The sequence below is a fragment of the Homo sapiens genome, chromosome 1 (assembly GCF_000001405.40).
Source record: "Homo sapiens chromosome 1, GRCh38.p14 Primary Assembly".
NCBI classification, from domain to species: domain Eukaryota; kingdom Metazoa; phylum Chordata; class Mammalia; order Primates; family Hominidae; genus Homo; species Homo sapiens.
Genome location: NC_000001.11, coordinates 41213645 through 41241105, shown reverse-complemented (window position 1 = coordinate 41241105; position 27461 = coordinate 41213645). Strand labels below are relative to the sequence as shown.

Here is a 27461-nt window from a genome sequence, read left to right as displayed (position 1 = left end):
TGTTCCTGGACACATTTGGTTATAAGTTGAAAGAAACAGCTGGCTCCCATCCTTCCTAGTTCTTTTCCCTTATGGGAAGCTGTTAAGATATCTGAAGATAGTAATCATGTCCCCTGAGTCTTCACTTCCACTTTCTTCAGTTGTCTCTCATCTGCTGTGGTTCTCTAAACTGTCCTCTGGATGAGCTTTAGTTTCCCCCATCCCCTTAAAGGAGAGTTTCTTAAAAGTGATCCTGGAGACAAAACGTAGTAAGTTTCTCTAAGAAACAGCCCCAAGGATTGACCTGCTTAAATCAAAAGTACTCTAGATTCCCTTCCTCATTTCTGTACTGTATTTTGAACTTAAAAAAAAAAAAAAAAGAAAACATTTAGTAGTGTTTGTTCAAACAAACTAAAAGACATCTTATTTTGTGGAAATTTGGGGGTTTCCTTCCTTTTAAAAAATGTCTATAAACACTTTATCAAATGTTGCTAACTAATGTACATCAAAATGTTTTGTTGAAGTGTAATGTGCCAGGCAAATAGAATAGCTCTTTTTTTTTTTTTAAACTCTGAAAAGGATTGAGACCTAGTTTAGTGCCAAACTGCAATTTTAATATTTGGTTGCAGAGGGAAATGCTTTATTACATTGAACTCTTTGCTCTAGTTCTAACTGCCAGCAGGAGGCCCAAAATTACTATGAAAGAGAACACTTTTTGTTGCTTACTTACCAACCTCCTAAACTCTTGCCTAAGCAACTCTGCAGGTTAGTAATGTTTTAAGCCCAGTAGAGATGAGATGGCCTTGTAGATAAAAGGCCAGGCTCTTACATCTGGGATCCTGTTTAAGTACTAAGCAAAGTTTCAGTGTTTTTACAACTTAGACAAGCACATACCAGCAGTCAGAATTGGTTCTTTATTTTTGTTCTTAAGCCTTCATTTTTTAAATTGGTCAATAGTTTTGAACTTTGTAGCACATATGTCAAGTTTTGATTTTAGGTATGTTTGTGCAAATGTTGTTCCCTTTTATGTAAGTTGGGTAAACATTTGCATAGCACCATTCTCAATGGAACTATACAGATCCAGAGGAAAGGCCCTGATTCCTTCCTTGCAAAGGACTTGGAGTGAAAGGTAGAGGATACTTAACTATGAGAAAGAATTGATGTGAATATCCCACTGAAAATTTAAACTTAGGGCTGGATGCAGGGGCTCATGCCTATAATCCCAGCACTTTGGGAAGCTGAGGCAGGCAACTCTTTGAGGCCAGGAGTTCTGGACCAGCCTGGGCTACGTAGCAAGACCCTGTCTCTACAAAAAATAAAAATAAAAATATAGCTGGGCATGATGGTGTATGTCTGTAGTCTCAGCTACTCAGGAGGCTGAGGCAGGAGGACCGTTTGAGTCAAGGAGTTTGAGGCTTCAGTGAGCCATGATCACGCCATAGCAAGTGACAGAATGAGACCCCATCTTTTAAAAAAGAAAAGAAAATTGGTATGTTCTAACCTTCACTGTACACTTATGTACCTACTATGGGTCAAGCACTATGCTATGTACTGTGCTCAGCTGGGTTTACAAAGATTTCCAATCTTGTGGAGCTGGTAAATTAGATGCTTAAATAGATTATCTCAGAATAAAAGATGAGAACTACGCATAGCTGAGATATACAAGGTGAGAGTAAAGGTTGCCCAAAGGTGAGGGCACTTAGACTAGCCTAGGAGTTAAAGGAAGGCTTTGGGAAGAGATGATATCTGACCCAAATCTTAAATGGTAGGTAGGAGTAAGTGAGGCAAACATGAGCAGAAAGCGTCCTTCAAACAGAGAAAACAGCTTGAGCAAAGGCATCAATGTGAGAAAAGGAATGGCTTGCGTAGAGAACCACAAACAGTTTGGGACTGCTAGGAATATAACAATAAGTGATGAGTTGTAAGGCTGGAAATACAGTCAGAGGCCATGTCGTGGTGGACCTTGTATGCATAAGTATCCTAAAATCAATTCAGTAGGTGTTTTTTTTTTATTTTTATTTAATCACTGGAAGGTGTCTATCAGACATGGTTGAAGTAACATTTTTAAAATGTGGTCATAGGGATGAAGAGAAAGAAATGAATCTGAGAAAATGTATAAGGCTTTAATGATTGATTGTATGTGCAGGTGAGAGGGTGAGGAGTCCCGTGTGATGCTCAGGTTTTTGCCTTGGATGACTAAGGAGGATATGTTGGTAATTTTAACTGAGACAGGAAACGATGATGAGTTCAATTCTGGACTTGAAGATTTTCAATTTCTTGAGTTAGATCAGTGAGCAAATATAGTGGAAGTAAGCTGAGAAAAAAAAGAGGTGTGGTCAGAAAGTGGAATATCGGAGTTAAGTTGTCTGATATTGGGACTGTTCTAGGTGACAGCGAGGTCTCTGTGTATGGGTAGCTAAAATACAGCAGAGGCGAAGGTCAGTAAAGCTGAGTATGACAAGGAATTTGGAGGCTAGTGTATTGAATGAGTCATCTGTGTAGAGAGTGAAGTGATTGAGGATGATGGGATGTGGGGAAGAGAGAAAGATGTGACCCAGGTGCAGTAAAGATAGGGGATTAATCAGGAGGGTGGTAGATGACAGATGAGGAGGTGGGGTAGAGAGTTATATAGCCAGATGGTGCAAACCTTGAAGGAGGAGGGGTTTTTAAACACAAGAGTGAGAAGGTAATAGTTTTTTTACTTTTCCTTCCTGGAAGCAGAGTTCTGATCTCTATCTTTATTCAGGACTCATATTAATCATTCTGTTTGCTCTGAAGAGTCTGTTCTTAGTCTTGGAAAGTGGGAGGGCACATACCTCATATTGAATCCTTTCTGCTAATACTTAATGACAAAGGGCAGTGGAGGTTTTTTCCTCTGATGATCATTAGTGGGTGGGTAGGGAACAATCAGATAAAGCAGTGAGGATATACCCATGGTTTTCTAGACAGAGTATAGTGGAAAGAGCCTAGGCTTTGGAGTTAGAAACACCAAAATTCAGATCTAGACTCTGTCACTTACTAGCTTTATGACTGTAAACAAATTATTTAGCCTCTGTGAGCTTCAGTGTCCTTATCTGTAAAAAATTTATACTTCATAGGATATCACAAATATTACATGAAAAAATATATACACACATACCACATAAAATCACAAGCGATTGGTGATTCATAGATACAAAGTAAATATTAGTTCCTTTCTTCCTTCATTTAAGGGGCTTATGCTCTGCTAGCTGAAATGAACCTTTTACATGCTTACCTAAGTTATAAAATAGAACATAGTGAGTACTCTAAGGGAGGTAGTAGCAAAGTGGTAAAGCAGTTCAGAGGAGGGAGCTGTCATTTCTAAGCATTTGGAAACAAGGTTGGGCTTCATTTCAAAATGAATTTTACTTGGGCCATGAACAAATTTCAATAGAGTAAATAATTTAGGTAGATATATAAAATAGGGAAAGCATAGGGTATGGTATCTTTGTTAAAAATAGCTACCACAGGTTTGAGTATTGTATTTGTAAAAGCTAATAGTAGGAAATATGGCTAGAGAGATGGGCTGGGGCATTGGTATTAAAGATCCGAAACTGTGATGCAGTTTGGAGTTGATTCTGGATACATTAGGGAGCCACACATTGGATGTCTTCTTTCTCTACCTCAGTTTACTATCTGTAAAATGTATAGGCATCAATTCAGAAACTTCAAATTTTTGTTTGCAATAAACGAAATAAGAAATTCCACACTTGAAAAGAAGTTCCTGTGTAGGCCAATTTTAGGTTAAAAAAATCTAAGATTTGTTTTGTAGTTGTAGGTTAATCTTTGCAGTAATCTTATTTGATTGATAGGCTTCGTGAGGTTAAGAAACATACAAGATCTCACTGGTAGAAAGTGACCGAAGAAGCTCTAATTTCAAATTCTGTCTTTTTTATTCCGCCATACTGATTAGGATTTTAAAGGAAACCTGAGTTCCTCAATGTCACTAAAAATTAACCGCACAACCCCTGGCAGATCACTTTTACTTTGTCATTTATAAAATGAAGGAAGATGTAGCTGTAAGGTTTAACTAAGATAAAGTGCAAAGTACTTTAGATAATGTTGGTCACATATCAGGCACTCAAATGTTGGGTCTTTCTCTCCCCATCTGTGAATGAGGGAATTTAACCACAGCATTCCAAGACCTTAGTGTTAACTCTCTAGCCACCGTAAACTGCTAGAACTAATTACATTTGGCCTTCTGTATCCATGGGTTCTGCATCTGTGTATTCAACCAATTATGGATTGAAAATATGGAAAAAGGATGGTTGCATCTGTACTGAACATGTACAGACTTTTTTCTTGTCATTATTCCCTAAACAATAGTATAACAACTATTTACATAGCACTTGTATTGTGTTAGGTTTTATAATCTAGAGATGTTAAAATACATAGGAGGATGTGTGTAGATCATATGCAAATATGATTTTATGTAGGGATCCGATCATCCCTGGAATTTGGTATCCAAAGGGCAGAGGGGGGCCCTGAAACCTTTTGATAACCTTATCGCCAGATAAACCCAGCAAGACTTATCACCTGTTATCTTTGTCCCAGAATCAAACGGTCTGTCTTCCATACTGTTATTCTTATTTTGACCTGGCTTCCTTTTACTCTCTTCCAGCCCTGCTTTTTTGCTCCTTCCACTTGCTCTCTCAAACTCCTGTTTCCTACATTGTTAACCATTTTATTGGATGTCTTTTTGTGTGTCCTGGCCTTAAGTGGAAGCCAGGCTATCTCCTGAGTCATGGAGAACATACTACTTCCTCTGTAGCTCTTTTAAATGGATGCAGCACATTCTCCTGCACCCCTCCCATCCCAAAGAAGAGAGGTGAAGATAACTGTATTTTTTTATTCTCCACTATATCTGGACCATTACTTCTTCATCTTCTTAAAACCCCTGTGCTCTTTGGCTATACACACCCTTGGTTTCTGATATAATATATTCTTATACAATATCTATTAAGATGAAAATACACATAAACTACAATCTAGCAATTCCACTCCTAGGTATATACCCTTTGGAAACTCTCCAATGTATGCATAAAGGGATGTTCAAAAATATTCATGCAACACTGCTACAGCAAAAAATTTGAACTAGTCTAAATGCCTGTCAGTAAAAGAATGAAAATATTGTGGTATATTTACTTAATAGAATTCCATACAATAGTGAAATGAGTGATCTAGATCTATATAGTAACATGAGCAAATCTCACAAATAACAGGTTGAATGAAAAAGGTGAATTGCAGAACACATTTATATAAAGCTTGACATGCACGTATTATTTAGGGAGGCATACTTATGTAATAAAGAAATACATGATAATTATAAATACCAAATTAAGGATAGTAGGTATCTCCAAAGGGTAAGCTGGGGAGAAAAGACCAAGAATAATGCAAAGAAGGGCACACACAGAGCTTAAATTGAATAAGTAAATATTTTTCAACTGAGTTGTGGATATATAGGTATCTATTAATTATTCTTTATGCCTTTTATATATCTGAACTTTTCTTTTTTTTTTTTTTTTTTTTTTTTTTTAGACGGAGTCTCATTCTGACTCCCAGGCTGGAGTGCAGTGGTGCGATCTCGGCTCACTGCAACCTGCACTTCCTGGGTTCAAGCGATTCTCCTGCCTCAGCCTTCTGAGTAGCTGGGATTACAGACATGCACCACCACGCCTGGCTAAATTTTGTATTTTTAGTAGAGACGGGGTTTCACCATGTTGGTCAGGCTGGTTTCAAACTCCTGACTATGTGATCTGCCTCGGCCTCCCAAATATATGTATATTTTTAAAGAATAAATAGCATTCCACTCTTGTTATGAGCATAATACAGGGAGGGAGGGGACAGCAGAAGTATAAAGAAATACTAATATTAGGGTGAATCATAAAATTTTTTACTCACCACTAATATTAGAGTGAACCATAAAATTTCTGTTTTTGTAGGTCTGAAATGATTTAATATAGGCAGATTCAAGTGGCCTATTCAATCTAATGTAACTAATGTTCTGGTTGAAATATATTCAAAATGCATTGGGCATGGTAACTCACACCTGTAAGTCCAGCACTTTGGGAAGCCAAGGTGGTCAAATCTCTTGAGCCCAGGAGTTTGAGACCAGCCTGGGCAACTTGGTGAAACCCTGTATCTGCAAAAAATACAAAAATAAGCTTGGCGTGGTGGAAACATATTCAAAGTACTATGGGAACACTAGGGCAGGAACAACTGATGGCCAAGGCAGAAGGAGGGAAGTGACATTTGGAAAGGTTCCAGAGAGAGAGAATGACTTTTGAACTGAATCTTTTTTATTGTTTAAGTTTTTTTAAGAGACAGAGTTTTGCCGGGCGCGGTGGCTCATGCCTGTAATCCCAGCATTTTGGGAGGCCGAGGTGGGCTGATCATGAGGTCAGGAGATCGAGACCATCCTGGTTAACACGGTGAAACCCCGTCTCTACTAAAAATACAAAAAATTAGCCAGGTGTGGTGGCGGGTGCCTGTAGTCCCAGCAACTCCGGAGTCTGAGGCAGGAGAATGGCTTGAACGTGGGAGGCGGGAGGCGGAGCTTGCAGTGAGCCGAGATTGTGCCACTGCACTCCAGCCTGGATGACAGAGCCAGACTGTGTCTCAAAAAAAAAAAAAAAAAAAAAAAAAAAAAAAAGAGGCAGAGTTGCTCCGTTGCCCAGCCTGGAGTGCAGTATTGTGATCATAGCTAAAGTAATCCTCCTGCCTCAACCTTCCAAGTAGCTAGGATTACAGGTGTGTGCTCATGCCCAGATAATTTTTAAAACTTGTCAAAATTGGGAATGATTGTATGTGGAATTATTTTAAAGAGCAGAAAGAAAAAAAACAGGGGTCTTGCTATGTTGTCAGGCTGTTGTCAAACTCCTAGTCTGAAGTAATCCTCCCACCTCGGCCTTCCAAAGTGCTGAAATTACAGGCGTGAGCCATCATGCCTGGCCCTAAACTGAATCTTAAAGATTGAGAAGGAATTCACCAGATAGAGGGTGAGGAGATGAAAGAAGCCCTTCCAGATAGGAAGAGGTAAAGACCCCTTTCAGTGGGTGGAATCTGCCAGGTGGAATATGTGGAGGTTAAAGAAACACAGCAGAGGAAGAGACTAAGGAACAATAACAACACATACCTTTATAGTACTTACTAAACAAGCACAAAGTTAAGTAACCTGTGAAAGATCACAGGGATAGCAAGTGGTAGAGCCTGGATTTGGACTCTGGCAGTCTGGATCTACAGTCTGTGCTCTTGTGCAGTAAGTTATATTCTGAATCACTATACCATAAGCATAATCAGGAGAAAGTGATGTTTGGATGCCAAGAGAACAACGGTAAGTTTCAAAAAGAAAGGAATAGTCAGCAGTGTGAAAGGCCCTAAAGACATGAAATGGGAATCCTAAAAAGAGAAGATCATTGGATATTTTTTTAAAAATCATTTTGCTGTAAGTTACAGTAAGGAATACCGGGATGATAGAGATATGGATATCTCAGAATACTAGTGATTCAGTCTATCAGTTCTGTGGGCCAGTGATTATAATTTCATTTAATTATGAAGAAGATATAATCAGGGACTATTAAAAATAGATCATCTCCATATTTAAGTACTTGATATATTAACATGATCGAAAGACTTTTGATCTTCTGCTATCTATAGTCATAGTTACTCTTAGGTAACTATGATTGATAGTGACAATTTTGTTTATTCTTCTGTACTTTCTGGTTTTGATAAAGATAAAACTTAGCTTGCTAGTTTAGTGGATTTTTCAGAATGGGATGATATTCTAAAGAACAGTAGTAGTTCAATCCCAAATATTTCATAGACAAGAAGGTGAAAGAGACCTTATAAGCTGCATGGTATGTGGAAAGAGTTATATGGCTTATATATATATGGCTTATATATATATGGCTTATATATAGGGATTAAGAGTCCTGATTCAAGTCCCAGTTTGCCACTCAGTGGTTCTGTGATTTAGGCAAGGAGTTGCCGTGAATGATTTCTAAGATCTCTTCTCACTCTCAAGTTCTGTAACTATTAGGTCATTTATTCAGTAAAGAAACTGAGGCCTAAAGAAGGGACTTGTTTGTCGAGGGTCAAAAACTGGAATCTGGTTCTCTTGACTCTTGGTCCTGGATATCTGATGGAAGAATCATCAAACATTTGAGGGGCTGCCACATAGCAGACATGTATTAGGTGCTCGAAAAAGCAAAAGGCATGTGAAATTGTTTCAGAATTCATTTATCCAATTTGTGAAAGTAACAATCAGCATCTTCTGTGTTTGTTTGTTTATACATATGTTGCCTTATTCCAAAATGTATTTAAAGCAGACCTACTCTATATAATGTACTGTACTAAAAAAGGGAATAACCTTTTTTGAGTATCTGTCAAATATGTTGAAACGTATAAACACGTTATTTTTACCCACCTGCATATAGGTAGTATCACCTCTATTTTATACATAAAGAAACTGAGACTCAGAGATAGCTGGCCAAGATTATGCAGTTTATAAGTAATAGGACTTGGTTTCAAGCCCAGACCAGCCTGACTTCAACCCCAGTCCTCTTTTCATTTCACCATATATGTGCCCCACAGCAGTGTTATGTAATTCTGAGACTTTATCAGTACAGGAGGCAAAGTTTACTTGCAGGAATTGACACATATATTTTTAGTCTGAATATATCTTCTATCTCACCAAACAATGTCGGCAAACAAAAGATCCCTGGTTAGAAGAATGAAATGGTTTAGCAAATCAAAGTCATATTTATTTTTTAATTTGAGCAGATATATGACTAGATTCCTCGTTAGGATCAGTGCTCATATTTTAATAAATTATAACATTTCTGTACCCCTTCAACCTTTGGTTTGCAGTTTTTCAACCTTTACCAGCTACATACTAAGGATAAAAAGGTGAGAATAAGATAGGGTTTCTTCCCTCAGTGGGTTTTACTATTTAGGTGACAGATATAATAACTTTACCTAAGATCTCTTCCTCCCCAAAAGCCATAACCTGAGTCTAATCATGAGAAAACATCAGATAATCCCAACTGAGGTACATTTTATAAAATTTCTTTTTTTTTTTTTTTTGAGACAGTCTTGCACTGTCACCCTGGCTGGTGTGCGGTGTGTGAGATCTTGGCTCGCTGTAACCTCCACCTCCCTGGGTTCAAGCGATTCTCCTGCCTCAGCCTCCTGAGTAGCTAGGATTACAGGTGCCTACCACCACACCCGGCTAATTTTTTGTATTTTTAATAGAGACCGAGTTTCGCTATGTTGGCCGGGCTGTTCTCGAACTCCTGACCTCGTGATCTGCCCGCCTCTGCCTCCCAAAGTGCTGGGATTACAGGCGTGAGCCACCACACCTGGCCTATAAAATTTCTAATACTCCACAAAACTGTTAAAGTCATCAAACAAGGAACGTTTGAGAAAGTGTCAGCCAAGAAGAGGCTAAGAAGACATAATGACTAAATATAATGTAGCATGGTATACTGGATGGGGTCCTGTCATAGAAAAGTAATCTCAGGTAAAAATTAGGGAAGTCTGAATAAAGTGTGGACTTTAGTTAATAAGGTATCAATATTGGTTCATGAATTGTAACAAATATGCCATACTAATGTAAAATGTTAGTAGTAGGGGAAATAGTACAGGGTATATGGGAGCTATCTGCAGTTTTTCTGTAAATCTAAAACTGTTCTAATAGAAAAAGTTTATTTTTAAAAAGTTATAATAAAATTATTCTAATTTTAGATGTTATTTCTTTGAGATTTAATTAAAACATATTTCTTCATAAAATGATGTGCCTAATTTAGTTGACTCATTTGATAATGACTGACAAACTGCAGTTTGTTGATAGATGCATGTGCCAGAATGTATACTAGGTGGATGTCATATGAACTTTTTCTGCCTCAGTTTCTTATGTATATAGTGTCAAAAACATGCCAAGTCCTAGTAATAGTGAATCCCAGTACAAAATAGACCACAGTTTGATCAGCTGTCTCATAGCATATTATAAAGACGGCCAACCTCTTAACATGGTATATAGAATTCTACTGTTCTGTTCTCAACTTTGATCCAGTCAATTCTGTGTTTTAGGGACTATCATTTGTGCCACTCCCACAAACCAATTTCTAATCATATGGGGTTCTTTAATTTGCAAGCAATAATAATCTACTCTGGTTAACTTCGTTTGTAGCAGCAAGTCCCAAACCTTGTTGAATATCAGAATCGCCTGGAGAAATTTTTAAAATTAAAAGTACCATGTGCCAAAAAAATTATATTGAATTGGGATCTCTAAGGGGATAGAACATAGGAATTAATATTTTCTAAAAGCTCTCTAAGTAAGTCTGATACTTACTCATTGTTGCCAGTTTCAGTGAACAGCCCCCTAATTCATCTATTTGTTCAGGCCTAAAATCTGAGAATCATTTCTTTAATTTTTTTTTTTTTTTTAAGACATAGGGTCTTGCTTTGTTGCTCAGGCTGGAGTGCAGTGATGCGATCATAGCTCACTGCTGCCTTGAATTCCTGGGCTCAGGGGATCCTCTTCCCTCAGCCTTCTGAGTAGGTAAGACCTCAGGCGTGTGCTATGGAACCCAGCTAATTTTTAAATTTTTATTTTATAGGGATAAAGTCTTGCCATCTTGCCCAAGCTAGTCTTGAACTCCTGGGCTCCAGTGATCCTCCCGCCTCAGCCTCCTGAAGTGCTGGGATGGTGCCTGGCTGGGAATCATTTGTTAAATTATCTTTTCTCCATTTTTAGTTCATTGCTGATACCCCTTAGGACTACATCCTAAATATCTAAAGAATCTTTCTACCCCTCCCTCACCACTTCCTTCATTCTAGTCTAAGCCACCATAGTTCTTCTTTTGGACCATTATATCAACCCCCTATATGGCTTTCGTGTGTCTACTTTTGTACCCTATCCTCCACCAATGCGGTCACCACAGATCAGATCATATCTCTGCCTAAAATCCTTCAGTGGCTTTCCATTGCATTGGATATACAAATGATATTTTCCCTTGTGGTCTACATGATATGGAGACTACCTTCTTAGCCTCACATAGTGCCACCATCCCCTAGCTAAGTTCTAGTTACATTGGCTCCCATTTCATTTCTTGAAGATGTGAAGCTCTTTCCTGTCTCTCAGACTTGGCACATACTGTTTCATCTGCCTGGGAGAGTCTTCCCCTGACTCTTGATTCATTCTTAAACATTACCTCCTCATAGAGGCCATACTGACTGCCCTTCCACAGTCACTCTGTTAATTCTGTTATAGCACTTAATCACAACATGTAATTATTTATTTGCTTACTTGTTAAGTTCCATGAGGACATGAGGGCAGGGGTCTTGCCAATCTTATTTTTTTTTTAATTATACTTTAATTTCTAGGGTACATGTGCACAATGTGCAGGTTTGTTACATAGGTATACATGTGCCATGTTGGTTTGCTGCACCTATTAACTTGTCATTTACATTAGGTATTTCTCCTAATGCTATCCCTCCCCCAGCCCTCTACCCTCCGACAGGCCCTGGTGTGTGCTGTTCCCCTCCCTGTGTCCAAGTGTTCTCATTGTTCACTTCCCACCTGTGAGTGAGAACATGCAGTGTTTGGTTTTCTGTCCTTGTGATAGTTTGCTCAGAATGATGGTTTCCAGCTTCATCCATGTCCCTACAAAGGGCATGAACTCATCCTTTTTCATGGCTACATAGTATTCCATGGTGTATATGTGCCACATTTTCTTAATCTAGTCTATCATTGATGGACATTTGGGTTGGTTCCAAGTCTTTGCTATTGTGAATAGTGCCGCATTGCCAATCTTATTCTTATATGTGACTCCTATCACAGTGCATGGCATATAATGCATTCATTAAAAAGTTAAATGAATTAATGAATCTTTTTTTTTTTTGGTAGGGGGTTGGAGTTTTGCTCTTGTTGCCTAGGCTGGAGTGCAATGGCACAATCTTGGCTCACTGCAACCTCCACCCCCTGGGTTTAAGCGATTCTCCTGCCTCAGCCTCCCAAGTAGCTGGGATTACAGGCATGTGCCATCATGCCTGGCTAGTTTTTGTCTTTTTAGTAGAGATACGGTTTCACCGTGTTGGTCAGGCTGGTTTCGAACTCCTGACCTCAGGTGATCCACCCACCTTGGCCTCCGAATGAATGAATCTTAACTGCCACCAACCTGGTCCAAGCTTCTGTCATCTCTCTTCTGAATTACTGCAGTTGCATCTGAACACTTTGCCTACAACTGCTCTGGGTCCCCTTTAATCATCTTCCACGTTGCTTTCAGGGTTAAATATTTAAAATTTTAAGTCTGATAATTATACTATTCTCTCTACATTCCTTTCTTTTTTTTTTTCCCCAAGTCAGGATCTTGCTCTGTCACCCAGGTTGAGTGCAGTGATGTGATCACGGCTCACTGCAGCCTCCTAAGTACCTGGAACCACAGGTGCGCACCATCACACCCAGCTAATTTTTTTTTTTATTTTGTAGAAATGGGGTCTCACCATGTTGCCAGGGCTGGTCTTGAACTCCTAGGCTTAAGTGATGCTCCCACCTCAGCCTCCCAAACTGCTGGGATTACAGGCGTGAGCCACTGTGCTTGGCTCCTTACATTGTTTATATGCTTCCTGCTGGTCTTAATGTAGCTTATAGAATGTTTTCTTTAATTATTTTTTAATTGTGGTAAAATATATGTAACATAAAATTTGCCATTTCAACTATTTTTAACAGTACTAAGTATAGTCACATTGCTGCGCAACCCTCATCACCATCCATCTCCAGAACTTGTTTCATTTTGTTAAACTGAAACTCTATCCATTAAACAATAATTATACATCCCATTGTGGAGTCCCAATAAGTAAGCAGCAAAGAGGAAGGAGCCACAGGTAGGGGAGAACAATGAACAATTGTTCTGAGAGACGGCTAATTACAAACAACCACTGGCACAACTACCTTGTCCTCATAGCCCCCTCCAGCATGACCCTGTAAAACTTCCCTCCAGTCCTTGCCTCTTTGTAGACAGCCCTTTCTCTGCTGTGCTGCCTATTGCACCTTTGCAACATATTTTCATACTTTCTCTAATAAATCTGCCTCCTTTTGTTTTGTTTTTGTTTTGTTTTTGAGACAGAGTCTTGCACTGTCGACCAGGCAGGAGTGCAATGGTGCAATCTCAGCTCACCAGCTCACTGCAACCTCCACCTCCAGGGTTCACATGATTCTCCTCCCTCAGCCTCCCAAGTAGCTGGGATTACAGGTGCACACCACCATGCCTGGCGAATTTTTTGTATTTTTAGTAGAGACGGGGTTTCACTATGTTGGCCAGACTGGTCTTGACCTGACCTCATGATCTGCCCGCCTCGGCTTCCCAAAGTGCTAGGATTACAGACGTGAGCCACTGCGCCCAGCCAAATCTGCCTTTCTTTACCTATAACTGTCTTGGTAAATTTCTTTACCACTTGTGACATAGGCCCCAGCTAGTTGCACCCATGGCATACATTCCTCCCTCCCTCCAGTTCCTGGCAACTACCATTTTACTTTATGTCTCTATGAATTTGACTGTAATACTCCATGCACTTCATATGAGTAGAATCATACAATGTTTTCCCTCTTGTCACTGGCTTATATCACTCAGCATGTCTTCAAGGTTCGTCTGTGTTATAGCGTGTGTCAGAATTTCCTTTCTTTTAAAATTAAAGGCTCAATAATATAATTTTTACATTAAATTTAAACAGAGTGACTATGGAAGGGCAGTTGTTTAGTGCTCTACGAGGAGGTGATTTTTTAGCTGAGAAAGAATAAACCAAAAGTCAGAGGAAGACACTCCCAGGCAGAGCAAACAGCATGTGCTAAGTCTCAGAGACAGGAAAGACTGTCATATATTCAAGACTCAGAAAGGGAGCCAATGTGACTGGAACTTAGCTAGGGGATTATGGCACCATATGAGGCTCAGAAGGTAGGCTCCATGTCATGTAGACCACAAGGGAAAATGTCATTTGTATATCAGTGCAATGGAAAGCCACTGAAGGATTTTAAATCAGCAGAGCTAACATGATCCGTGGTGAGAGTGTTGGTGGGGGATGGGGATGCAGAACTATCTGCTTTCTATGCACCACCCTTTCTTCTGTGGGCTAGTCATGGCCCATCCCACCTCAGGGTTTTTTCTTATGATTGTTCCCTCTGCCTAGAATGCTCTCTCCCCTTCCTTGTCTATTCATTGTTTAGATTTCAACGGAGACATAACTTCCTTAGGGAATCCTTCCTTGATCTCCCAGAATCTATTCAAAATAATCTCCATGTTGCACATTTCATAGTACCTTGTGACTTTGCTTTGTAGTACTTATAATAGTTTTTTAAATGAAGCCATATTTGTATTTTTTGGTTGATTAATATATGTCAGAATAGCAGGGACCATGTCTTCTGTTCAATATTGTATCCTGAGCACCTAGTATTTAAGTAGGTATTTCAGTAAATAATGTAACATATATAATAAATAATATTAATATTTGTTGACTAAATGAATTTAGGTCTGGACCTTGATGGCTTAATGTCTTTCTAAAAATCTACTTCCATATCTAAGCCTTTCTTGACTACTTTCGCCTTTTTCTGTGAACTTAAAAGTCTTTATTCATTGTTTGCCGGATGCTAAACATTTACAAAAGTAATCCTTATGTCATCTGAAATTTTCTATTTTTTTCATATTGCTTATGCTTTATATTTGCTAGTTGGTCTTTTCCCTCTAAAATGCCACTAGAGTTATTTTTCTAAGTTACAAATCTCATCATTTGTGGAAATTCTAGGGCATTTATCATCCCTTAAATGATATGTGGTGAAAGGGTAGTTTTATTTTCTGTTTGTCTCAGACTAATAATTTTGTAAGTGTAATAAAAATGAATTACTAGAAAGATGAAATTTTTGTAAAGATGAAGTATAAACCTCAAAATCTTATAAGATTTAATGACATAAAATTATTCTGTTAAATTGCTGTAGGAAATTTCCAAGTATTTACTGTAAATTCTGTACTTTTTGCAAACAGGTAACAAACATTTTGCTTATGAAGACCACACATTGAATAGTAGCACCACTTAAGGTTTCTGTGCAGGGATACCAGGAGGTTCAAGGTGAGGCAGGGTGGACTCTGCCTCCTTGCTCCCCTTTCACCAGATAAGCTGTGTCTTTATTATTGTTATGTTTTACCTAACAATTTGTTTGAAGATGGTTCTTTGACCAAAAAAGGCTTAAAAAGCGCTAGTCTGCCTGGTGTTTTAGAATGGCATTTAAAATTATTCTTCATCTGATTGCAGCCCAGTTTGCTAGTTCAGTCACTGCTTCTTGCCATAGATCCTATTCTTAAACCACCTGTCATTTTCTATAGGCCATCATACAAGCCCTTTCACTACTTATTACTTTTCCACTTTCCTTTGCTTAGAATTAACTAAACTTTCCTCTCTGGGATACGATGCATTCTCCAAGTTCTGATTGAAAAGTCACCTCCTATGTGAAGCCTCTTCAATTCCTTTGGATGGAATTGGTCACTACTTTTAACATACCTATGGTAACTACATACTACATTCTGTTAATCGTTAATGGATTTGCTTGTCTTTCTCACATAACATGGTTCTAGTCCTGTCTATCTTTATATTCCCTAGCCCGGGGACTGACACATACTCAATAAATGTTGATTGGATAAATTGGGAAAGTCATCAATATTTGTACATATCTCAGATATAAAAATAGAAGCATTTTATTTGGTTTCAGGCAAACTATATGACTGCCTCCTTGCTCACTTCTCCCCACTTTGGGGACCTATCCCTGGATATTGAGTATGACATATATACTAAGAGTTGAAATATGTGTCTTAGAAAATGCAAGTAATGAACCTCCTACCCAGGTTCTCGTGTGAACTTGCATTAAAGCTCTGTGTGTGTTGGGAGGTGCAGAGAGAAAGTTAAAAGTTATTTTGAAATTATATTAATTATTAATGAAATTGTTTTGATTGAAAAGTTTGGAATCTGATCCTTTAAATAGCACCCTTGTTTTGTTTTATTTTAATTGAATTTGTCTGCTCTTTCAGTTTTATGAGTGACCTTTAAGTAATCTCTTATTGCCAAGAGAAGCTGTTTGCCCTCTGGAAAAAGTATAAGATTTAGGGTCATTTGACCAAGATATTCTAATCCTAAATCCAGTGATTACTAGCTGTGTGACCTTTATAAGTCATATAAAGTCTCTAAATCTTTTTTTCTTCACTTGTAATAAAGGAACAACTGACATTTGTCCTATGTACCCTGCAGAATTGTGAGGGCCAAATGAAGTGGAGGGTATGAAAGTGCAGGTAAACCCCAGAAACAACAAATGCGGGTAAACCCTACAACAGAACTTGTGCTATTTACTATCAGCTCTATGACTTTACACCAGTTAAATTATTTGTACCTCAGTTTATTCACCTATAAAATGAGAATATTAATGCCTGTATCATTGGGTTTGTTGTGAGAATTAAGTTATTTATAAAAAAGTGTCTAGTAGATTGACCTGAGTGTTTGATTATCAGTCAATTTACCTTTGCCTTAGCATCACACCCTTTTCTAGCCTCCACCCTGAATTAGGGTTTAATAGTAATAATTATAAGAAATGATAGTAATTGGAGATTATTTACTAAACACTAGTGTATGCTTAACTCTATGCTAGTTGCTATAGGGAAAATGGAGATACAATAATCACTAATCCCTTACATTTCATTTCAACTATTCAGTATTTAGCACTCACCATGTGTTAGATACAGGGGATAAAGAAATAAACATGAAGCAGCATTACCCTTTAAGGCTCATAATCTAGTAGAGGAATCAGACACAAATAAATTATAATACAGTATAGCACAATAATATAAATGTATACACTTCATGGAAGAGATAATGATTTTGTCTGAGAGTATGAGGAAAGCTTCTATTCTATGCAAATTAGGTTTTAAAGGATGAGTAGACGTTTTTTAGGTAGACTGAGGAGGTGAAAGAGGGGGCGATCCAGATGGAAGGAGTCAGCATATGTAGTGTTTGGAACTGTATAAATCGTTTATTACTGCTGTGTATTAAGGTTAAGAAGAGCTGACTAAAGGTGAGGCTAGAGGGTAGGCAAGGGCTGGATCATCCGAGGATGATTTTTGTACCATCCTGGGGAGTTTAAATGTCATTCTGTGGGCAAGAGGAGTCAGTGAAGGGTTTTGAGCAGAAAACAAAGACTATCCCTTGAGTGTTGTAGGAAAACCACTTTGATAGCCTTGCAAATGACAGAGCAGGGAGCTTTATAGATTACCCAAATGTTTGCAGGTTATTATCTGATTCTCACAACAGGTCTTTGAAAGTTGGCAAGGCAGGAATTAATCCCATCTAATATATGATATATGAACCACTGAGAATTAAAGATGGCGCTGGAAATTAGCTTGCATCATATACAATCAGTACTTACTGAGCAACGATTAAACCTAGGCCTTTTCCAAATCTAGTTGTATTTTTACGATACATTGAAAGATACAGTCCCTGCCCTAAATGAAATTTAAAACTTGTTAGGGATGATTGAGGGATAATTTTCCTTAAAAAAAAAAAGATAAAATTACGACTCTCACACAAATATAGAATGAACAAAATTTTAACTCATTAATCCATGTGGGAAACAGAAAGATAGTACAAAGATGGCTCAGAGAGGACCCAAAGTACCACATATTTATTGTCAGGGAATGCTGAACTTAATTCACAAATGGTGACAAAACTCGTCAATACCCATAGGACAGTTATCAATTGCATTACCTGGGCACAGTTTGCATTTCAGTGGACAGGAATTATTTGCATTACTGTGAGTTTTCAACAAGCTGACATCTTTCTTGACAAAGCTGTGAAATAGCCTAATTAAAGAGAGACCAAGTAACACATCTCTATACAATCAGGTAATCCTGGAAGGCTCCAGATTCCATTGATAGAATATGCAGTAATCTCTCTTGCCCATTTCAAAACCTCCCACAATTTTATCCGACAGGGATTTAGGACTAATTCTCAGAAAATTCAGATTAGGGGATAAAGAAATAAACATGAAGCAACCTCACCCCACAAGGCTCATAATCTAGTAGAGGAATCAGACAAATAAATTATAATACAAAATAGTACAATAATATAAATGTATACACTTCATGAAAGAGATGATTTCATGTGGGCTAGGATCTTCTCCAGTTTTCCCTATTACCCTATCATCAGAAATCAGGGATTCTTCATCTCAACAGAAGTATCCTTTGAAAAATGACTGCATCATACAGTCCCATTATGCAATGTCAGTTTCCATTCTCACTTTCTGTTTAGATTACCTGCCTAGGACTCTTCTTGAGTGTTTGAATTACCCCTTTCCAGAAATGAAAATCTGCCTCCAAACCCACCAACCTAGTTGTTGGTGGACCGTAATACCCAAGTGAAAAAAGGCTTTAGGGTGCCAGGTGTCTGGATTTTCTAAGCAGTACTTCTGTAGAGTTCCTTGGCATAATGCCATCTTCCCCTTAGCACTGTGATATGTCTCGGTACAGTCTCTTTTGCTGTATTATAGAAGGTGCATTCCTAGGAAGCCTCATGTTATAAAGAGTTAGTATAGTAATTGTTTCAAGGGTTTTTTTCCTATATGAAGGTAAAGGTGCTTATATAGCTGTAAGTATATAACTATAAAATCTAAAGATTTTGAGGAAATCCAGTGTTTGATTTTGTTTAACTTTTGCAAAAGAGTATTTCTTTGCCTATCTTCACCAACATCACTTTATCACTTTTATTGTCTATTTTTATGGCAAAGCACCAAGTCACTTAAAGCAGTTGTTTCATATTTGCAGTATTTCTTTTTCTCCTTTCCTTTCTTTGTTTAATTCCTTCATGCTTTCTCTTTCTTCTTCTTCCCTTCCCTTGTTTCCTTTTCTTCTTTCCCTTCCTTCCCTTCCCTCACTTTCTGCTTGTCTTATTCCTTCTCTGTATTCCACATAAAGTATGTTAGAATTATGCAAATAATGTTTCCTAAAACCAGATATAGGTATATCTCTTTGACTTAATGCTGCCAGTTTAAGATTATTTATCTGTTCATATCATTTGTAGATGGTTCTGCTCTCTCAAGACTTATCACTGATTGCTTGATTGCTTAATGATGTCAATCTCCAGTCCTTTGTTTCCTAGCTTTTTTTTTTTTTTTTTTTTTTTTTTTTTGAGACGGAGTCTTGCTCTGTCACCCAGGCTGGAGAGTTCAGTGGTGCAGTGTTGGCTCACAGCAACCTCTGCCTCCCGGGTTTAAGCAATTCTTCTGCCTCAGCCTCCTGAATAGCTGGGACTACAGGTGCCTGCCACCACACCTGGCTAATTTTTTTTTGTATTTTTAGTAGAGATAGGGTTTCGCCATGTTGGCCAGGCTGGTCTTGAACTCCTGGCCTCAAGTGGTCCGCCCAGCTTGGCTTCCCAAAGTGCTGGGATTATAGGCATGAGCCACCGCGCCTGGGCCCTAGCCTTTTTTTTTTTTGCTATGAGCGTTTGGCCATGCCCTATTGAATTTTGTGTCTGTGTGTTATATATATATAACAAAATTTATTATTTCATCCTCTTTTTTTTTTGTTTTTGTAGAAATGGTATCTTGCTATGTTGCCTAGGCTAGTCTTGAACTCCTGGGCCAAAGTGATCTTCTTACCTCAGCCACCCAAAGTGCTGGGCCTATTTTAACCATTTTTAAATGTACAGTTCTGTGGCATTAAGTACATTCACATTGTTATGCAACCATCACCACCATCCACTTCCAGGATGCTTTCATCTTCCCCAATTAAAACTGTACCCACTAAACAATAACTCCTCATTTTCCACTTCCTCCAGCCCCTGCAACCACTACTCTTACTTTGTATCTCTGAATTTGACTACACTAGGAACCTCATATAAGAGGAATTATATAACATTCGTCATTTTGTGACTGCATGCACTCTTGAAATTTGAAATACGGTATTGATGATGATGGTGGTAATAATAGTGATAATGGTTACCATTTAGTATTGTTCTTTTGGCCAGGCATGCTATTTGTTTAATCTTTTCAATCTATGCCAATAAATGACTTTATTCATCCTCATTTGACAATTAAAAAAGATGAGACTAAAGAGATTAAGTAATTAATCCAGGATAAAGGATATAATCTGTGTTCTCTCTAAGATTTCTGCTTTCCATTACACCAAAAGTTGATGGTATTAGTCCTGGTTCCAACCTGTGTCAAGATGGCATTGGAAAAGGACTGAGTATGCTTCATGGTTTTCTTCTCCTCTTATACACCAGTTTACCTTGTTCAGATTTCAAAAACATAGCACAAGATATGTTCCATTAAAAAGATATGAACTTTATTTTCAGACTCCTTTAGATTATGCGCTTTTGTCAAAAACAAGGACCACGTCTTTCATTTCTGTATTTCTAGCATTGGCCTAGCATGTAGAAGTCACCGTAACATGTGTTAACAAAGCTAAACAAATTGTGTGCTCTGAATCTGCCCCTCGTTTCCTATCCAGGTGAGTTGGTTTTTGAGATAGAGATAGCTATAAGCATAGTTCCTGCTTTCAAGGAGCTTAGAGTCTAGTTAGAGATGAGACATTAAAAAATCACCATCATGAAAATCACTTTCTGTTTGAATTGGTTTTGCACTAAATATGTTGGCTGTAAAATGTATTTCAGTCATTTATAGGGCTTAGTTCACATAACATTATTTGGGAAAATTAACTATTATTTCATGAGTCAAGGAATTGGATGTACTTCCTCTAAACACATGTACATAAACTCTGGTAAAACTCCTTCAACTGCTGCCTGCCCACAATGCAGTTGGTGCTTGCTATAATGGGTCAGTGAGGAGTGATTAAAGCAGGCCATGGGTCCTCCGACTGGGGATTGTGTCCTTGCCTTGCGTGAGCAAATAAGTCCCAATCCCCAAATACCTGGCAAGTACCTTACCTCTTTTTTCTAATAGACTTGTCACCATTCATCAGCTCAAAATTATTATTTTTAAGAGAAATAATGAAAAGCCCAATTCTACAGATGAGAAGAAGTTTATGTTGATTAATATATAATGTATGAAAGAGTGGTTATATGAAAGTCAAAGATCTGAAAGACCAAGTGACTTGTATCTTGTATAGTACTTTTTTTTTTTTTTTGTGAGACGGAGTCTTGCTCTGTTGCCCAGGCTGGAATGCAATGGCACAGTCTCAGCTCACTGCAACCTCTGCCTCCCAGGTTCAAGAGATTCTCCTGCCTCAGTCTCCCGAGTAGCTGGGATTACAGGCACCTGCCACCATACCCGGGTAAGTTTGTTCATATTTTTAGTAGGGACGGTTTCGCCGTGTTGGCCAGGCTGATCTCAAACTCCTGACCTCAAGTGATCCGCCCACCTTGGCCTCCCAAAGTGCCGGGATTACAGGCATGAGCCACCGTGCCCGGCCACGTTTTTCTATTTGATAGTAAACACTGGTTACTATTGAGTATACTGAGCTACCATAGGACTTCAATTATGGTATTCTGTTTTAACCCCAACTATTCTGATGACATCTGACGTATTTCAATTCAGTTCTGACACCAACCACCCAGTGTTAGAGTCAGACTCTACAAGTTTATGAGAGCATGGCCCCCAACAAGACTTGCCCCATTTCAGATGCCAGTCTCAGGTCAGATCCCCAGGCCACCCATACTTCTGACCAGCTGGCTACAAATCTGAGGGGTTCCCATGATCCCTTTCAGGTTTGACAATTCACTGGAACAACTCACAGAACTTAGGAAAGTGCTGTTCTTATTATTACAGGCTTATTATAAAAGATAAATCAGGGACAGCCAGATGAAGAGACACTTAGGATGAGGCCTGGGAGAATCTCAATTGCAGAACTTCTGTGCCCTCCTTCCATGGAATTGGGGCACATCACCCTTCTAGCATGTCAGTGTGTTCACAAATTAGGAAGCAGCATTGAGCTTCAGTGTCAAGAGTTTTTATTAGGGTTTCATTATATAGACATAATTGATAACTCAATGTTCAGGCCCCTTCCCTGCCCCAGAGGTTGGGCTGGTTCAAAGCCCCAGCCCTCTAATCATATGGTTTGTTCTTCTGGTCACTAGCCCACATATTGAACCATCTGACTATCAGAAACTAAGGTATGATCCCAGGGGCTTATGAATAACAAAGATATTTATATCACTTGGAAAATTCCAGGGGTTTTAGAAGCTCTGTGCCAGGAACCTGGGACAAAGACCAGACAAATTATATAACACATGGTACATAAGAGAAAGTTTAGTGTAGTGGTTAAGAGTGGTTTAACAGAAAGTTATTTCTTTTCCTCATGGGGTTGTGATGAGGTTTAAATGTGGTCACCAGTGTAAAGCACTTAATACCATGCCTGGTATGTACTAAGTCTTAAATAGATATTAGGTAGTATTAAGAGGTGTTTTAGTTTCCTAGGGTTGCTGTAACAAAGTACCACAAATTAGTTGGCTTAGAACAACAGAAATTTATTCTCTCAGTCTGGAGGCTAGAAGTCTAATATTAAGGTATTAACTAGGCCATGCTCCCTCAGAGACTCTGGGTAGAATCTTTTCTTGCCTTTTCCTAGCTCAGTCCTTGGTGTTCCTGGGCTTGCAGTTGTATTACTCCAGTCTCTGGCTTTGATGTCATATTGTGTTCTCCCTGTGTATCTCTGTTTTCATATGGTCTTTAACTCTTAAGGACACCATCACATTGGATCATGGCCTACCCTAATGACGTCATCTTAACTTGTTTATATCTGCAAAGACCCTATTTCCAAGTAAGGGCAATTCACAGGTACCAGGGGTACACAATTTTAGGGACACAATTTAACACAGTTCACAATTCTGGCCCCCTAAAATTTATGTTCTTCTCATGTGCAAAATATATCCACCCCATCCCAACATCTCCAAAAGTTTCAACTCCTTCCAGCATCAACTCTAAGTCCAAAATCCCATCTAAATATAATCAACTCAAAAAGTTCCTAATTTCATTTTTTATATAATCTAAATCAGATATGAGTGAGCCTCTGGGTATAGTCCTTCCTGAAACAAAATTTATTCCCATCTGCTTTGAAGCCTAGAAAACAAGTTGCTATTTGCTTCCAAGATACAATGGTAAGATAGGCATAGGAAAGACATTGCCATTATGAAAGGGAGAAAATGGAAAGAATAAAGGAGTCACTGGTCTAAAGTAAGTTCACAACCCAGCAGGGAAAACTGCATTAGATTTCAGAGCCTGAGAATAATTCTCTCTGGCTTGATTCTCTGTCCTCTGGACTGCTGGGGTGGCCCTACCACTTTAGCCTGAGAATGTCTCATTGGCCCAGACCTCTCCATCTGTGGCTTTGCCCTCAGAGCCAGTCGTCCTGCATATCATTCCATCTCTGTCCATTTCAGTTATGGCTGGTAGTACTTTTGCTGGTATGAAATTCTCAAAAACCTTGTCAGTCTCCTGTGCAATGCAGGTCCAATCCATCTAACAAGAATGTTCTCCACATATCTTTGCTACATAACTGTATCTCTATTCCTGGCTTTTGCAGAGATGATTGACTGGGTTTGTGAATCACATGCAAATGCTATACCCTTGCCCTGGCCCTGTTTCCAGAGCACACTATCTGGATAGGCAGAGAATTTTCTAAATTACCAAGTGCTGTTCCTTTTTTGCTTAATATTAATAGTTCATTCCTCAATTTATTTCTTTCCTCTCACATTTTACTGTAAGCACCAAGGAGAACCCAGGCCATACTTCCACACTTTGCTTAGAAATCGCCTCAGCTAAATGTCCAAGTTTATCACTTGTAAGTTCTACTTTTCACCTAGTGGCTCAACATAATTCGGACAAGTTTTCTGCTGCTACATAACAAGGATTGCCTTTCCCCAGGTGTCCAATAACATATTGATCATTTCCTTTGAAGGCTCTACCAGAAGCATCTTTAGTGCTCATATTTCTACCAACTATCTCTTCAAGGAAATTTAGACTTTTTCTATCAAGCATCTCAAAATTCTTTCAGTCCCTACCCGTTACCCCATTCCAAAGCCACTTATTTATTTTTAAGTATTTGTTAGAGTAGTGCACCACTCTTGGTACCAAAATCTGTATTAGTTTCCTGGCAGCTACTAGAAGATAGAAGAGACAGGGAAGGATCTTCAGAGAGAGCATGACTCTACCAACACCTTGATTTTGGACTTCTGGCCTCCACAACTATGAGAGAATAAATTTCTGTTGTTTTAAGATACTCAGTTTAGAGTACTTTGTTACAGCAGCCCTGGGAAACTGAAATAGAGATGTTTCCTGGAGGTACTATAGTCATCGGTGCAAAACAGTGAGTACAAAGTATCTTCCTCCATCCTCAGATTTTCCTGCCATTTGTCTTTCTCTCATTTAGAGCATATTTGTGTCTAGTTGTACTGTAAAGTTTACTTTTGCTATGTTAACAGCTTATGATTTGGCTTTATCTCAAGAGATCAGCCTTAAGTAGGGATGCTCTGGTGCCAGGAAGCCTTCAGCCTTCAAACCTTTGCAGGGATGGAGGCTTTACTTTTACAGACTTCTTCTGCCAGAATGCCTAGTTGTGGCTCTTGGTTTCCTCCTCATGCAAATTCTTGTAATGCCTGCCTTCATCATGGTGAAGGTAGAAGAGTCCTGGTGGTACTTCAGTTAGATAGGCAGCTGACCCATAATTGATGAATCATATAATGAATCCTTGACTGTAACTTTTAACAGATAGCTGTTTTTCAATTGAGTTATTTTTCAAGAACACAACTTTTGCCTACCTTAATGAGGAGTTATACTTATTTGGATTTTCTTTAGTGCCGATCACAGTGTTTGCAGATCTCTTAGAAGATGCTCCATAAAAATTGTTTTGCACTGAAGAAGGCTTATCCATGGCACTGCTAGTGAGAGACTAGCTCTAGCGATAAATAAGAGATGTTAGTTGCCAGGGCTGTCATTTCAATTTGTCTTGCTTTTACTGAGCTCATTAATAAATTGCCACAGTGGTAATATGAAAGTAATGAACCTTCTGGAGACCCACCTGGGGCACAGAATGCTAACAGGGACCTTCAGGGCAACTGCCATTGTGATACACAATTCAGTGAAAGGGTTTTAGGCTTTTTTCCCCTTTGAAACATTTATATTTTGTAATATCCAAATCCTATGTTAACATTTGTGTACTTTCTGAGTATATTTAAATTCAGCTCAGCAAACATGGATCTGATGCCTGCTACTGTCAGGCAGTATATTGGATCCCAGGGTTGTAAACATGAATGAGACATCCCTTAGGGCTTCACTATCAAATAGAGAGAAAAGGTGGGTAAACAAATAATTTTAATATGGTATTTAAATGCCATAAGTATGGGTCAGATATAAATGTAGCATACAAGAGGAAATGATTATCTAGAGAAAGGAGCTAGGAAAGCTGAGAAAGGGGACTCATTGATTTCTGAGTTAAAATTTGAAGGATGGGTTATAGGTTGATGAGTTGGGTGCATAGTAGGAAAAGGGGCCTCATTGCAGATAAGAGGAGGGACTGCAAATCATTTGGAATAACTTAGGGAAAGAAGGTAAAGAGAAGATTGTCAGCCCTAGATCCTGAAAAATAAAATAAAATAATGTAAAGAGAAGAAGTAGATGAGGATGGAGACATAATAAGGGGCCAAATCTTAAAGGATTTAGGTTTTGAAGTGTTATGTATACTGTGCCAAGGGTTCTGGTGGATTTTATCTTGTAGGGTACATGGATCCATTGAAAGATTTTAAGCAGAGAAGCCACATGATCAAATTTTTATTTCAGAAGAATTATTCTGGTTGTCTTTTATAGGATGGAATGGAAGTGGAGAGAGACCAATTAGAAAGCTATTTACTAATTCTCTGTAAGGAACAGCATAGTAGACTGCAAAAAGCATGACTTAGGTTGTTTCAAATCCCAATTCAGCCACCTACTAACTTTAACACTTAACTGTCTCTGAAGCCTCTTCATTAATGAAATGGAAATAATAGTAATCTCTCACTGGATATTATGAAAAATCACAAAAAATAACATACACATGGAGTTGTTCCAAAGTGCTGAGTATAAATGCTAGCTGTTATATTTCAAATTCTGTTTTTCTCGAGTTTTAGGTAACATAACTACGTTTAGCATTTTGAAGAAGCGCTTTCATTTTCCTTCTACCATTCTGTTGCAATGAAGCAGAAGTTGAGACATTTTCAAACACTTTATATTTACATTAAGATCCATATTTCAGGATTTCCCAAACACTCAAAAAATAATATAACTAAAGCTTTTTCCTTTGGACACCCTGTCAGACCCTCAATTGGAGAATCAGGGTTAGTGTCTTTTTTTTTGAGTCAGGGTATAATGGGAAAAGATTGGAGCCCTGTTTCAACAAATGAGCTATTTAGCTGAGAAATAGCATCAGAATATGTTCTGCCTCCATCCTGCAACTATTTAATAAGAATAATGTGAACAGTTGTCCTAGCCATCTTGCATATTTATTGTGAGGATCACATTCTTTCCTTAGGTAAATGTTTATTAAATAACTACTATTCAAGGCCCTGTTTCAAAGAATGTAGAAATGAATCAGATCTAGATCCTAATTTCAAGTGAATTACTTGAAATGTAAAAGGTGTATACAAATAACTAATTCAAGTAAGACAAAATATGAGTCAGATAATGTTGAAAATTATAAAGGACTTTGACACTTAAGTTATTTATATTTTGTATAATTATTGTATATTGTTATATTTTGCAAAGTATATTTCACATTGCTCTCATTATTTAAAGCGCCACCCCAAGTAAAGCAGAGATAGAGTCACTTTCTTGGATATCTGTAGAAAATAAATGATAAATGTTTTTAGATTTCAGGTCAATTTAAAAACCTGTACACAGATTTTTATCTCAGGCTTAATGTTCACTGATACCCAAGTAACTTGGTTAAGTTAGTCTCTGAGCCTCAGGTGTGTGCATGTATGTGTGCATGCATGTGCACATGTGTGTGTAATTGAGATAGTACCATCTAGCTCTTAGATTTATTGTGATGAGATGGTCTTTATATGTAAAACAATGCTAACAATACATGTTGGGTTTTTCTGTAGTCTCTTTGCTGTCACCTACTTACCTTTTCACTATTGCCCAGTATTGAGCTTTGAGACAGCAGCTTCACTGAAATAATTTAAAGGTTTTTTTTAAAAAAAAATGTAAGCAATTATAGGGGAGGAAAATGTCTTTTCCTCACCTGTCCTAGGTTCATGGCTAAAGTCCTTATAGCAAAAGACATATTAACAAGAGAAAAGCATAATCAGTGTTTTCTTAAGTTTTATGTGACACAGAGGGCTTCATAAAGAAATGAAAACCTGAAGAAACAGTTAAACTTGTATATTTTTATGCTAGATGTGATAATGAAGTAGATAATTGGGGAGCAATAGAATTGGACAAA

At 38.3% G+C, this 27461-nt stretch overlaps 1 protein-coding gene across 37 annotated transcripts in view, besides 1 other annotated feature; it reads left to right on the top strand.

Annotated features, from left to right (window-relative positions):
* SCMH1 (Scm polycomb group protein homolog 1) overlaps positions 1–27461 on the top strand; it is a 215105-nt gene that overhangs the window by 1201 nt on the left and 186443 nt on the right. The window lies entirely within an intron of this gene.
* Positions 60–239: an enhancer, noted in NCBI's record as "active region_860". NCBI's record gives its function as "activates an Ori minimal core promoter by ATAC-STARR-seq in GM12878 lymphoblastoid cells {active_cell/tissue: GM12878}" and the evidence as "EXISTENCE:reporter gene assay evidence [ECO:0000049][PMID:35858748]".